Source organism: Homo sapiens, chromosome 11, assembly GCF_000001405.40.
Source record: "Homo sapiens chromosome 11, GRCh38.p14 Primary Assembly".
Classification (NCBI taxonomy): domain Eukaryota; kingdom Metazoa; phylum Chordata; class Mammalia; order Primates; family Hominidae; genus Homo; species Homo sapiens.
The window spans coordinates 61,067,678-61,082,392 of NC_000011.10; the positions used below are offsets into that span (position 1 = coordinate 61,067,678).

At 47.0% G+C, this 14,715-nt stretch overlaps 2 long non-coding RNA genes across 2 annotated transcripts in view; one reads left to right on the forward strand and one right to left on the reverse strand.

Moving 5' to 3' along the window:
- LOC105369325 (uncharacterized) overlaps positions 1–14,715 on the reverse strand; it is a 63,496-nt gene that overhangs the window by 38,815 nt on the left and 9,966 nt on the right. The gene's annotated exons all lie outside the window — the stretch shown is intronic.
- Positions 6,035–10,232, forward strand: LOC124902677 (uncharacterized). Its single transcript, XR_007062690.1, has 2 exons — positions 6,035–8,514; positions 9,970–10,232. It is a non-coding gene; the product is annotated as an uncharacterized LOC124902677 (long non-coding RNA).

Below are 14,715 nucleotides of genomic sequence, written 5' to 3' on the forward strand. Positions count from 1 at the left end.
CACTGATTATGGCTGGGCACAGTGGCTCATGCCTATAATCCCAACACTTTGGGAGGCCCAGGCAGGAGGATAGCTTGAAATAGGAGACTGGGGCCCTTGCAAACCCACTGAACTTCCTGGTGGTCACAGTGGACAGTCAGCCTGGGGAATAAGTCTCTCTGTGAAAAATGCAATGAACACAAGGCCCCTTTCCATGGCCTGTGCTTGGAACCAGCAAAGGAGTCGGCCATTCTGCATCCTGAGCACAGACAGAGGAGCTGTGGGTGACAGATGGTGCCTGCCAGGAGCAGGGATGCATGAGTCTCAGGTCAATGACAGATGTGGCTGGAGCCCAGTGTGGAGGCCCCAGGCTCCAGCGTGACCTAGTTTTCGAGATTGATGGGGCTGGCGTTGATGGCCTCCCGTGCACTCTCCTCTGTTCAGTGGGGGGCAGAGAGAACCCAAAACAGCAACGCCCTCCCCCAGCCCACACTTAGACAACAGGTGACTACGAAAGGAAGGCAGGAGGGGAGGTGGGGAGGGGAATGGCAGGCGGGCCAAGTTGGGTGGGCTCCGGGGCAGATATGTCTGCCTCTCTTCTCTGAGGCACGACTGAGGGGCAGAGAAAGGCCAGGCAGTGGCAGTGACTTCACGTGCGCTGCTGCCAACGACCCCCATCCCTCCCAATCCACCGTGGTAACACCAATATGTTCCCAGCTTGGATCTCTCTCTCTCTCTCTTTCTCCCCACCCACCTTGGGCCCCAGACTCATACCCAGCCCTGTCTGCTCAGCATCTCCACTTGGGTGTCCGAGAGCATCTCAAGTGTCATATGGCCAAAAGCAAACTCCTGACCATCCCTATCTCAAGACAGGGCTTCTCCATCCTTCCAGGTGCTCTGGCCAAAAACTGTGGTGTCACCTGTGACTCCTCTTTCTCTCACATCCCAGCTGCAATCCAGCCAGAAATCCTATGGGTTCTGCCTTCGAGATGTAGTCAGACTCTGGCCACCTCCCACCCCCTCCACTGCGACCGCCCTGATCCTGGCCACCGTCCTCTCTGCCTCCTCACCTGCCTTCCTGCTTCCTGCCCTCATTCCCTTCCGGGTGTTCTCCCTGCTGGATGTGGAGTGATCCCATGTAAAAGGCACCCATGACGTCTCCCACCTCACAGCCTACTGCTCTACCTGCTCACACCACTTGGGTCACGCTGGCCATCGGACACACTGGACAGCCTCAGGGCCTTTGCTGGTCCTGGGCTGGAAGGCTCTTCCCCTGGAGAGCCCTCAACTCCCTTCCTCGCCTTGGGTGGAGCCTTCCTGGACAGCCCTATTTAAATCGCCACCCCTCCCTCCCCCTTCCCCCTTCTCTTCTCCTGTTTTAGTCTCTTCCGTAGCATTTATTGCCACTGGACACACAATATATTTTTACTTATTTATTTTGTTCATTGTCAGTTGCCCCAGGTTAGACTGTAAGGAGCATGAGGGCAGGAAAGTTTGGGGTCTGTTTTGTTCTTGCCATGTCTCCCAACACCAAGGACAGTGCCTCGTGCATAGCAGGCACCTAGTAAGTTATTGAATAAGTGAATGAATCAGGATCAGTGACCTCCCTCTGGAACCACAGGCTTGACAGCAAAGCTCTCCCCCTTTCTTCTGGCCCCTCAGTGCCCCCCTCAGGGCAGAACTCCAGGTACCCAGTGTGTCTCCAGCAGGTCCCTGTGTCCCCTTAGTGGTGGGAACAAGAGATCCATCAGTTCCAAGCCTCAAGATGCCTCTTGCCTCCTTCATCATCTGTCTCCCTCACATCTGCCCTGCCTTTGACAATGTACAAATAGCTTTGAAGCCCTGTAAGGTTTCAGCATCCTTGTTGCGTAGGCTGGGAGAGCCAGGCAACAGCCCAAAGACACACAGCTTAGAAGGGAGGAGAACACCCATCCTGACAGCAAGCTTGGTCATTGCTCAGATTCACCCTGTCCCTACCACCTGCTTCCTCCAGGCCAGCACTGCAAGCCAATCGTGATGACAACGACGGTGCTGGATGGAGGACAGACAAAACCAGTGAGGCTCTTGCAACAGGGGAAAATGAGTCCACCAGCAACAAGAAGACTGGGACTGGGGAGGGGGTGCAGAAGGGATTAAAGGGTTCAAGGGGGCCTGGGAGGACAGAAGGGGATTCTGTTTGGGTTCCCCTCAACCAACCTAAAGCAGATTCTGCTGAAAACACAGGAGGCAATAATACCCTGAGCTTTTTAAGTGCATGTCCCCATGACCCCATAGCCCTACACCTAGAGGTTTATTGCAAAGCCATCAGGGAAAGAGTGTACACAGAACAGTGAGGGTTAGCTATACGGGGTGCTTGGCAGAGCAGTGCTGGTGAGAGGAGGACAATGGAAACCTTCTCAGTGTCCCCAGATAGGGGAATGGGATTTATACGCCATGACTCCCTTGAAAACAATGAATGTGCACCTACATTTCCTAACTCGGAAAGCCGGCAATGACATTGAGCCTAAAATTCTGTGTTGTATGGGCCCATTCGTGTGTGTGTGTTTTTTTTAAATGTACGTGTTTGCAAAGAAAAGTGTCTAGGGCCAGGCGTGGTGGCTCACACCTGTAATCCCAGCACTTTGGGAGGCCGAGGTGGGTGGATCACAGGGTCAGGAGATTGAGACCATCCTGGCTAACACGGTGAAACCCCATCTCTACTAAAAAATACAAAAAATTAGCTGAGTGTGGTGGCGGGCACCTGTAGTCCCAGCTACTAGGGAGGCTGAGGCAGGAGAATGGCATGAACCCGAGAGGCGGAGCTTGCGGTGAGCCAAGATCGCACCATTGCACTCCAGCCTGGGCAACAGAGCAAGACTCCATCTCAAAGAAAAAAAAAGTGTCTAGGAGGAAGTATATCAGGTGCAGTAATGGTGACTGCTGCTAGTGAGCCTAGAGGGAGCTCACTCTCTTTTTCATTCTTTTCTGTATTCTATTGCTGTGGGATAATTAAGGAATCAGAGAGACTGAGGGGTTGAGGAAGAATTATGTAATTATTTAGGTGCACCAAACCAGTCGGATTAACATCCAAAGGACTGAGCCCCAAACAAAGAGTCCGGTTACCTTTTAAGCATTTTGTTGGGCGGGGGCGGGGGGGGTAATCTGTGCAGAGGGAAGCATATTACAGAAGTGAGAAACAAAGACAGTTATTCAACTGAGACATGCATTACATCATTTCTTACTTTTTAAGGAACAACATGTTTTACGACTTGAGATTATCTGTCAAGTGACCTTGAAGCTGCACAGCTAGAGAAACAGAGTCTTCACAATGCCTGGGAAAGGGAGAGATAAGTCTCACTGGCCACAGAAAGAAAAACAGGCAGTTAATTTTAAAGGACTCCAGCCCTTTCTCTTCCTCAAGGGGAACTGGGTTTTCTTACATTCAGCTGAGTTTTTGATTACACAGTTTTTAATTTCTTTTCATTCCTGTTCCACTATGAATAATTTTACGACTAGCATATATCAATATTTTTAGTAAATAAAACAGTAAAGGTGCATGCATTTTAGAAAAACAAATTTAAATGCTCCAGAGACTTCCCCGATGGGCCAAGCCCACCAGGGCCCTCTCTCCAGCCAGACCCAGCACCTGCCCACTGAAGGCAGCCTCTAAGCCTCCGAAGCTGAGGGCCTGACACCTCCATCCAAGCCTCTGTGTGTGACTGAGGGGGGAGAAACAGAGAGAAAAGAACCACTTCCTGCAGAGCTGGTGGTGGTGGCGGCTCTGAGGGAGGAGAGACACCCACCAGAGGTGAGGACTAGAGGCTCCTTCAGCAAATGTGAACGTGACTCAGGGGGCCACCCTGACTGACAGGGCAGTGTGGCCCTCACGGTGACCAGGGCTCAGCCGCACTGTCACTGCCATTAACCAAAAGCCGGTGATCACAGGCAGAAGAGGCCTGCGAGTGGGACATGCCCAGTGGGCCTTGTGGGGATGGAGCCGGTCCTGCTTTAGGGGACAGGGTCTGAAGCAAGAGCCAGCAGGTGGCCTCGACCCATGGATTCCCCTGCAGGTCTCCAGGGCCACACCCATGGCAGGGCCTCCAGATAGGATCCCACTGCTCTTTAAGGAATGTTTGGGCAGGTCCCCAACAGCCTGGAGGAAACCCCTTACCAAACCCCTTACAGCCACCAGCAAAGGAAAGCCAGGCTTCCAGGTAGAATCTGGATCCATGAGGTGGACTGTGTTCTATCCACTTTGTACTCAGGGTGCCCAGCCCAGGCCAGGTGCTTAGTACTCGCTTATTAAGCGAAAGGATGAATGAATGAATGAGCCATCCGCAAAGATGACCTATGTTACTACTTTGGAAAGAAATGTCTTCAACGTGAGCTGGGCTTCTCAGCGGGTGGAGGTGCAGCTGTGTTCCAAACAAAGAAGCTATTTTTAAAGAGAGAGAAGAGGGAAAGACTGAGTCGGGAATGCCTGAGGCCTGGTTACTAGACAAGCCAGAGGACTCCTCCTCATCGTGCAGAGGAAGGGGGAGTCAGCTTCTGGGAAGAAGTGGGGCCCGCCTGGGGCAGTCTCACCAGAGGGAGGTGATGACAATATTGCTGGGCTTCAGTCTCCTGCCTTTAGAGGGTGAGGGCCAGTCCACAGGAGTTCAGATCATAAGGCCCAAGTCCCATTCTCCGCCAGCTCCCCGCCTGCCAGGTGAGGACACCAGTCAAGGACTTCTGTTAGACTGAGTCACTTGGGAGACTTAGCTCTCTTTGGGCACAGCTTGGTCCCCTGTGCATGTGGCCAGATGCCAGGGGGCTGGGCACTTCTGGGAGATGGGCCTCTCGGTGCATCAAGATGGCTTCACAGTGAGCGTGACTGTGAGGCTGTTGTGCCCCTCCTCCCTGATCTTCTGCCACGACCCTGGAGCCCACTTCAGTCACCACTGCCAAACCATCACCTTCCATCACACACACTCGGACTGTGGTCACACCCAGACCACCAGGATGGACACACAGAGCTGAAGACCCAACCCTTGGCAGACACCATAAAACAGCCCAGCTGGCTCCAGTGGGCGGGAACCCTGGTAGGAAGACATGGAAGCCATCTGCTCAGGTGTCCTCTTTCTGCAGGCCCAGAGAGAGAAGACTTGCTCAGGCTCAGGTCAGAATCCAATCCGGGATCCGAAGCCAGGGCTCCAGGCCTCACGTACGGTGCACCACGGGGAGTTTTGGCGATAAAAGTCAGGGCTTCCCAAGAGGCCTGAATCAGCAGGAAGTGGTAGCAGCTTGCTCTACTGGGGCACAGTCCCCACTCCCCACCCACCAGACCCTCCATCGACCCTCATGCTCCCCATCTGGGAGTTGGGGCGGCCAGGGTTGCAATTGTCCCTGACAGAGAAGAATTGTGCCCCAAATTCCAGAGGCCAGGAGGGAAACAGGATAAACCACAAGGCACCCACAGCGCCTTCAGGAGTCCTCCTGCCTCTAATTTGCTGTGTGACCTTGGGGAAGTCCCTTCCCTTCTCTGGGACTCATTTTCCTGATCCGCACGATAGAGTTTGGTCTCCAAGGTTTCATCTGATCCTGAGAAGCTCTGAGTCCAAGCCTGGACACATTCTTACTGTGTCAGAGGCAAACACTCAGCCAAACTAGCTGGTCACTAAAAATAGAAAGGCTGGGCGCAGTGGCTCACGCCTGTAATCCCAGCACTTTGGGAGGCCGAGGAGGGTGGTTCACTTGAGGCCAGGAGTTTAAGACCAGCCTGTCCAACATGGTGAAACCCCATCTCTACTAAAAATACAAAAATTAGCCAGGCGTAGTGGTGCATACCTGTAATCCCAGCTACTCAGGAAGCTGAGGCAGGAGAATCACTTGAACCCAGGAAGCAGAGATTGCATTGAACCATGATCGTGCTACTGGACTCCAGCCTGGGTGACGGAGCAAGATTCTGTCTCAAAGAAAAATAAAAATACAAAATAAAAATAGAAAGCCACTAAAATAAGGTGTGGGGTGGGCTAGGAATTTTTAGATACAGGCACCATTGTTATTTTTATTTTTACTAAATTTATTTCCCTTTTTTCATATTTTGATTTCACTAAAAATAGTGAAAAAAGTTTCCACGCACAAAGCATTCTCAACAATGTTTTTGGCCAGATTGACAGCTGCAGCTCCCTCCAGCCATTTATTAATGGCTTTTTCTTTTTAAAAAATCTACTTCTGCCCATGAATCTGAAACACATTAACTGAACATTTGGGTCAAAATTTCTCATACATGCTACATCTTCCCTCTGGATGAAAAACTCCTGGGGAATGGGGATTATGTCTTCCATAGCTTTCTCCCCTCGTGTCCAGCCTGGCTTTAGGCCTGATAATGACTGCTGTCATCATTGTTGCTGTTATTGTTGATTTTCATTATAGAGCCTGAAGGAAACTTCAAATCGAATCCAACCTCCTCTCTTTACCAATGGGGAAATTGAACCCAAGAGAATAAACTGTATTTAGTCTAATATCAGATCCTTGGTGGAAAGGCTCAATATTGTAAACATGTTGATTCTACTTCAAATCAATCCAGAAATTCACTGAACTTTAAATCTAATGGGATTGGGGGGAGTTGGGGAGATCTGACAAATTTATTTGAAAATGAAGAAGGATAGCTAAGAAGTGTTAGAAGCAGACGAGTAATGTCCTTTCCCATAATAAGATTATAGTTCAATCTAAAGATTTACACAATTTAAAACTGGGTATACCATTTTAGGAACAGATTAATTAATGGAAAAGAAGGAAGAATTCAGAAAAGGAAATTCATCTCATTTATTTTAAAATTCAATGATGTAGTGCTAATCCTAAGCAGTGGAAGGAAACCTGGAATTTTCAAAAAGTGATGTTGAAGCAGCTGTTCTCTTTTTGGGGAAAACAAACTGAAAAATAAAAAACTTTAGAGTTAATTTTAAATAATTAAAACAAGTCACATCTCACACCTACTCAAAAATAAAGTACAATTGGATTAAAGATTTGTGTAATAAAAAAAGACACTAGAAGAAAATATAGGGGAAAAATTTTTTATAACTTGAATGTGGAAAATGTCTTTCTTAGCATAGTATAAAAACTAAAAATCCTGAAGAGAAAGAATTTGGACCCCATGAAAATTTAAAATGTATGAATAGTGGAAGATATCATAAAAAATAAATAGTAGAAAACAAATGACAGTCTGGGAGAAAATATTTTCAACACATGCAACAGACTAAGGATTAATATCCATTATATATAAAGAGCACCTACAAATCCACCAGGAAAGGACTGACAACCCCCACCAAAACAGGTAAAGAATATGAATAGATAACCAATGAAGAAACACAAATGTTTTGTGGATGCAAAACATATTTAAAAAGTGTTCAATCTCTCTACTAATTAAAGTAATAAAAATTTAAAACTCATGATATTTTATACCTACCATATTAGTAAAAGTCAAAAAATATTGGTAACATTCAGAATTGAGGACGTGGAAGGTAATCAAAGCTTTTCTTCCTTGACAGTAATAATGTCAATGGTTCAGCTTTCTTAAAAGAACAACTTGGGCATTATCTTTCAATATTTTTAAATGTTCATATCCATGCAGCAGCATCATATCTGGAAATCCATCCTACAAGATACTAAACACAGGTGCCTAAAGACATGTTTGCTGTGCTCTCCTTGTAACAGGCAGACAAATTGTTGATGAATGATAAAGAAGGATAAAATAAATCATGGTAGTCCCAGCTACTCGGGAGGCTGAGGTGGGAGGATTGCTTGAGGCCAGGAGTTTGAGCCCAGCTTGGGCAACATAGCAAGACCCCCATCTCAAAAAAAAATTATTGCACATTCATGTTATGGATGGCTGTGCAGATATTAAAGAGAATGACATAAATCTGCCTGTATCAACATGGAAAGTCACACACAATTTATTGGAAAGTGGAAAAAAAGAAATAATTATATAATAATCAGTATAATATTATCCCATTTCCATTTTGTAAAACAAATAAATAAATAAAGATTCAGATCAAATTTTTAGTGGTGGTTACAGCTGAGGAGTGGGGTCGGTGGGAGTGATAGGAAGATGGAATGTTGCTATTTAAAAATGTATGTTGGTCAAATTGAAAAAAAATAAAAGATATCCTTCACATATTTCAATAATGAAAAAAGCAAGAAATAAGATAAAATAAAATAAATGTAAGTTGGTGCTCTTTGAATGCGTCTTGATGATATCTGCAGTTTTGCACATACATATACTGTGTGTGTGTGTGTGTGTGTGTGTGCACACGCCTATATAATTAACAAAGAAACATATCCTCACTGGCCCTGTGCAAAGCTGTTACAATATTTATTTTAGGAATGAGGAAACAGTCCTGAGTTCTATCACTTGCCCAAGAAACTCACATGCTGTGAGTGACTACAAAGGAATTCCAGTCCCAGCCTGAACTGAAAGCCAGGGAGGACCCTTCCCTGCCAACTCGCCTGCCCTAAGCACAGAGCGTGGCTGTGCGAATTGCAGACTTGGTGGATGACGGCTGTGGGGAGTTAGAGGTAGGAAGTGATCATGCATTGTTTCTCCAAATGCTGTATTTAATAATATTTCAGATAATCAAAACTACTGTAGTCAACTGGGGAAGTATAGAATTGTTAAGAAGCAGGAAAAAAAATACCAACCCCCCAGAGACAATTACCATTAGTATTTTGGGATATTTCTTCCAATATTTTAATTGCGTTTATAAACATGGTTCATATTACATTGTAGGTGTGATTTTGCATCTCTCTTTGAAAACAACACTGTATCAGATTCATTTTCTTTTGTCATTAAAGTCTTCATAAACAACAAAATTTAAAAAGAGATCAATATTTTAAATAGCAGTAGTTTACTTACTATCTAATTTCATCCTGCTTACCTACCACCCACCCAAACCCAACCAGCAGAGCACCCAACTGTCCCATCTAAGATAAAATATACTCGGTACATATTCTGCACCAAGCAGAGAGGTGACTAAGACACGCTGTACCTCATAGCACACAGCAAAATTAACTCTGGGTGGATTAAAGAGCTAAAGGAAAAAAAAATCACAGAAAGACTTGAAAAAAGTTGATGAGAGTATTTATCAAACCTCTGTGTGGGGGAGGACTTTCTAACCCTAAAGCTATGGGAGAAACCACAAAAAAAAGATCACTAGATTTGGCTACCTAACATTTTGATACCCTGTAAACAACCTGAACAAAAAAGGTCAAATAGCAAGTGGGGTAAAATCTTTGCAACAAACATAAAAAAGATTAGTAGCCATCATAAATAAAGAGCTCATACAAATCAATATAAATCACCCACTGAGACCCAAATGCCTAACTGGGGAAAGGCTTAGGAGTGTGCTATCCAATATAGTAGCCACTAGCCACATGTGGCTATTTAAATTTAAATTAATTTAGGATTTAAATTAAAATCTTAGGTAAATTAAATTAAAATCAAGTTTAAATTAAAACCTTAGGTAAATTAAGTCTAAATTTAAATAAAATTAAATTTAAATTTTACTCAGTTATCTAGCCATATTTCAAGTACTCAATGGACACATTTGGCTGGTTGCTGCTGGACAGGCAGATATAGGCCACGTGGACCCTATTAAACAGGAAGATACAGGCCATTTCTATCATTGCAGAAAGCTTGATTGGAAAGCACTGCTTTAGACAGTGCGCAAAAGAAGACTCACCAGTGACCAATAAACACATTTAGAAATTCAGCTTCATTAGAAATAAAAGGAGTGCAAACTAAAACAAGGTCACATATTCATCTAGTTAGGAGTAAACAGGGTATTGCTAATTGAAGAGTAAAGAGTTACGGACCATCTGGAAAATAATTTGGCAATATAAGTTAAGAACTGTAAAAACCCTCAACCCAGCAATTCAGTTCCTGGGAATATGCGCAGCCTAAAGAAATTGTCAGAAATACACAAACCATTTTGTGCAGAAACGTATTGATTCCTAAATTATTTATTATTTCAGAGAGCCGCAGCCTGAAAGCCCAACCTCAGGGAAGTGATTACACCCATCAAGACCGACCACTCAATGGACGGACAAACCATCAATAAACATTATGTTTTGCCAAGAGGAACTAATGACTTGGGAAATACATACAAAAATAAATTTAAAAAACACCACATTCGAAACTGAAAGGTTAGGATAACATCAACTATAAAAATATGAAGACTATGCACAAGAAACTGCCAATTGCCAGAATAAATATCACTGGGTGATAGGATTCTGAATATTCTTTATGCTGTTCAGTAATTCCTGAATTTTTAACAAAGGTCATTTTCTGGTTTTATACAAAACTAGAAAGGTCACTAAAAATTCACAGGAGAGATAACCTAGTGATTAAGAGCAGGGATCTAAGCTGGCTGAGCCTTCGACGCCAATCCCCTGTTGCTCCCTGGCTCTCAGACCTCAGATGAGGTCAGCTCGGCTTCCTTGTCTGCAAAATTAATAACCACACCTGCCTCATAAGGTTTCTCAAGAACTGAGCAAGATGGTGCCTGCACAGTGCTGGGTAGAGTCTGTGCACATGAGCCCAGAACATACGTGAGGACTGCTGTTTGTATTAACATGGGAAATGCTTATGTTACTCTGTTGTCGCGTGACAAACCAGGACCCAGAATCTTCTATAGAACATGCTCTCAACTGGAAAAAATATGCTTTTTTTTTTTTTTTTTTTTGAGCCAGAGTCTTGCTCTATTGCCCAGGCTGGAGTGCAGTGGTATGATCTTGGCTCACTGCAGCCTCCGCCTCCTGGGTTCAAGTGATTCTCCTGCCTCAGCCTCCAGAGTAGCTGGGACTACAGGCGCACGCCACTGCGACCGGCTAATTTTTGTGTCTTTAGTAGAGACGGGGTTTCACCATGCTGGCCAAGATGGTCTCGATCTCCTGACCTTGTGATTCACCCGCCTCGGCCTCCCAAAGTGCTAGGATTACAGGCATGAGCCACTGCGCCCAGACAACATGTGCTTTTTCAAAAGTCCACAAAGACCAGGAGCTACTCCAAACTGCTGATGGCAGTTTGGGGAGATGGGAATAAATTTCCTCTCTTTGCTTAAAGAAGCATGAAAATATCTTTCTGTGCTTTCCAAATTGTCTCCAATGAGCATGCTATCTTCACAATGAAGGGGGGAAAAGCTTTATAAAGATAGAGAAAAGCTGAAATAAATAAAGGTTTAACTGGTTGTGCTGAGGAGGTCATCAGCTGGCACGCAACTGAGGCACACAGCCTCTGCAGCTGGTGGTTACTGGGGAGACCTCTGCCTTGTGGGATTCTGAGCTGATTTAATTTTTTTTCTTTCTTGAGACAGAGTCTCACTCTGTCACCCAGGCTGGAGTGCAATGGCGTGATCTCGGCTCACTGCAACCTCCATCTCCTGGGTTCAAGCGATTCTCCTGCCTCAGCCTCCTGAGTAGTTGGGACTACAGGCACCCGCCACCACACCTGGCTAGTTTTTGTATTTTTAGTAGAGACGTGGTTTCATTATGTTGACCAGGCTGGTCTCGAACTCCTGACCAACAGCCAGGTGAACTGCCTGCCTTGGCCTCCCAAAGTGCTGGGATTACAGGCACAAGCCACCACGTCCAGCCACATTTAATTTTTTTCTACATATTTTATGTATTTCCAAACTGTACAAGAGGTAGTAAATATTATTTTTCCCAACCAGAAGAAAAGACGTAGTTAAGAAAACTAAAGAAAACCTGGCCCTCTGCGTTGGGACTGGTGAGAGGGACGAAGGTAGATGGAAACAAGAACTGAGGGGCAGGGTGGGGGTGAGTGTTAGCACAGGGGCCCACCCTGCTGAGCCTGCGGGTGGGGCTGCAAAGCAAAGGCCTCCGAGCCTCCCCCTGCTCCACTCTGAGCCTTGTCTCCTCATCCACGCACAAGCCCAGGCCCAGCACAGCCGCAGACACGCCAAGGTGATGGGGGGCAGACTACCTGGACTGAGAAAGGGTTCTTTTTTATTTTCTAACCTTCCAATAAAACATCTGTGAATTTTTTCACTGTCAGATCAAATAAGAAAGGAACTTGCGTTTTGCAGTGCGTAGAGCTGATAACAGATCTATTGCATTTCTGAAATGTACAGAAGTTTTTTCCTCTTGAGAACCTGGGAGTAGTCGTCCCCACCCTGTCCCCAAAGCTGGGCCTAGTCATGACAAGCACTCCAAAACCCACAGGTCCCAGGTCCCCATACACCTGGGAAACAAAAGCATCTAACATCAAAAAGGACCACGGCCATAAGGAGGAAGAAACACCTTCTCAGGGTGAGGCTCGCCCACCCCCCTCTCTGCCAGGCCAGGCTTTGCTGTGTCCAATCCCCTCTCCTCATCTCTGAACTCCTCAAATTCCTGGGAGAGACGAAGCCTGTGAGGCCTTTTTGTCCACTAAAAGTAGGGGGCCAGTGGGACTTAGTGTCAGATCGGTTTTGCTGGTCATACTTCTGAGGTGCTGAATTTAGAATTTTGGTTGACATGAATGGGCTGTTCCTGGAGTCAAAGAAGCCTGTGGTGATGCAAAAAGAGATCAGGAAAATCCAAAGGAACAGGATAGTTTTGTGGGACACTCAGGGACTCTGGGGTCAGACAACAGAACCATCCACTCTGGGCCACAGCTATAATGCACGGACAAGAACCCATGCTTGTAGGATGGCAGTGTGCAGTAGGTTACACGGCTGCTGCATGAAAATTACTAGAATTAACCCTCTCTGGCCCCTTCTGTTGTTCCCACAGCAACAGGGAAGGTTGAGGAATAACAGGATGAAAGGACCCGGGATCCAGAACCTTAAGTCTGGACCAGCTATGTGGGCCTGTGTCAGTCACTTGACCCTGGGGGGACTCAGCTTTCTTCTCTATATAACGGATTCATTTCAGCTCCAACTATTGAATCAAACAAGCCCCAGCACCCTACCTGAGGCTCCTCAGAACAGAGGCATCCTCACCTCATTGCAGGAGCTGGGAAGACGAAAGAAATGCTATAATCTCTAGCAGAACAAGTAACTGCACAAGGAGCTCAGCAATGAAGACACAAAGCACAAACCCCAGGTCACCAAGCCGCGGTCTCCGAAGTGGGGAGAACTTGCATTCTCTGCAGCTAAACCTGGCAAACCAACAAAATATGAAACCACACTTCCAGGCAGACCCGCCTTGTACTGCACCAGAGCTTCTAGAGCCTTTTTTTTTCCTTTTCTTTTCTTTTTTTCTTTTTCTTTTTTTTTTTTTTCTTTTGAGACGGAGTCTCGCTCTGTTGCCATGCTGGAGTGCAGTGGCGCAATCTTGGCTCACTGCAACTTCACCTCCCAGGTTCACGCCATTCTCCTGCCTCAGCCTCACGAGTAGCTGGGACTACAGGCGCTCACCACCATGCCCAGCTAATTTTTGTATTTTTAGTGGAGACAGGGTTTCACCACAGCCAGGATGGTCTCGATCTCCTGACCTCGCGATCCGCCTGCCTCAGCCTCCCAAAGTGTTGAGATTACAGGCATGAGCCCAGCATAGAGCCTTTTTTAGGGGCATGGGAGGCACTGAGGTGCAGACTAAAGGTGCGGGCCTTCTCCCCAGAAAAACACACAAATGACCACCCATGGTGTCAGGCAGCTTGTGGAACACTGAAGGACAAACATGGATCCCAAGGTCAGGACGCCTGTTCCACCCAGGGCTCAGTGTGCCCCTAGACAACTTCCTATGCCAGGGGCACCCTCAGAGGAGCCAGAAACCAGACTAGAGCCCCAGTAGCTCTCAATGAAGTGCCTGGAGAGGGAGCTCTGTCCCCAGCTCTGGGGCCCACGTGTCGTTCTGGCTACCTTGAGAAGCTGGGAGTAGAACCTCCTCCCCGCTCCCTGGGATTCCCAAACTCTGGCCAGAAGAAAGGGAGCTCATTAGCTGGGCCCCACAGGCCTCCCTTTAGATTCACTCACAACTGGGGGGCAGTGAATAACAGGACCTCAAAAAAGGAGTTCTCTGTCCCAAAGCCTTTGAGGGTCTCTTGGGCTGAAAGATCCCATTTCCAGGGGTGGCTGCTCCGTGGCATGCCCGACTCTGGACCTCAACATAGAGAAGCCTCTCTGATCCCCGACATCAGCCCTTGTCCCCAGCATGCAGCCTCCCTCTTTGGGATCCAGATGCTGGAAGGACTTCAGCTAAGCTCTGGACCCCACAGGAGAAATCTTCATTTGCGCTTTAAGTAACCCATTTTCTCCACACATCCTGTATCAGAAATTGTCCTGGAACCTGACTGGACACGCTCTGTCCGCACTGTGTATTAGCGGGGTCTGGAGAGGAATGGGCTCTCGGGATTACAGAATTTGAGACTTCTCACTTTTCTATCTAACCCCTTTGTCAGAGGGGAAAGTCAGAAGGGAGCTTAGACTCCAGAAAAGATGGAGGAAGAAGGAGCAGGCCATACCTCAATGCAGAGAGGGAACCGAGGAGGTCTTCCTGGGGGAGGAAGCCTTGGCAGGGCCTGGCTGAGGGTGAGAGCGGAGGCAGGGCCAGGTCCAGCTTCCTTCCGCCCCCCACACTCTTTCCCACACCCTACCCAGACCTCACCCATGGGCGTGTTGCCCAGCATCAAGCCCGGGGCTTCCTGCCCAATGCCTGTCTCATCCAGGGACCTCGGCAGCCCTGCACACTGGTCAGATAAACCTCACAGGGGCACAGAGAGCAGGCACTGAGAGTGGCCCCCTGGAGGGCAGGATCCAGCCCCCACAGAAACACACA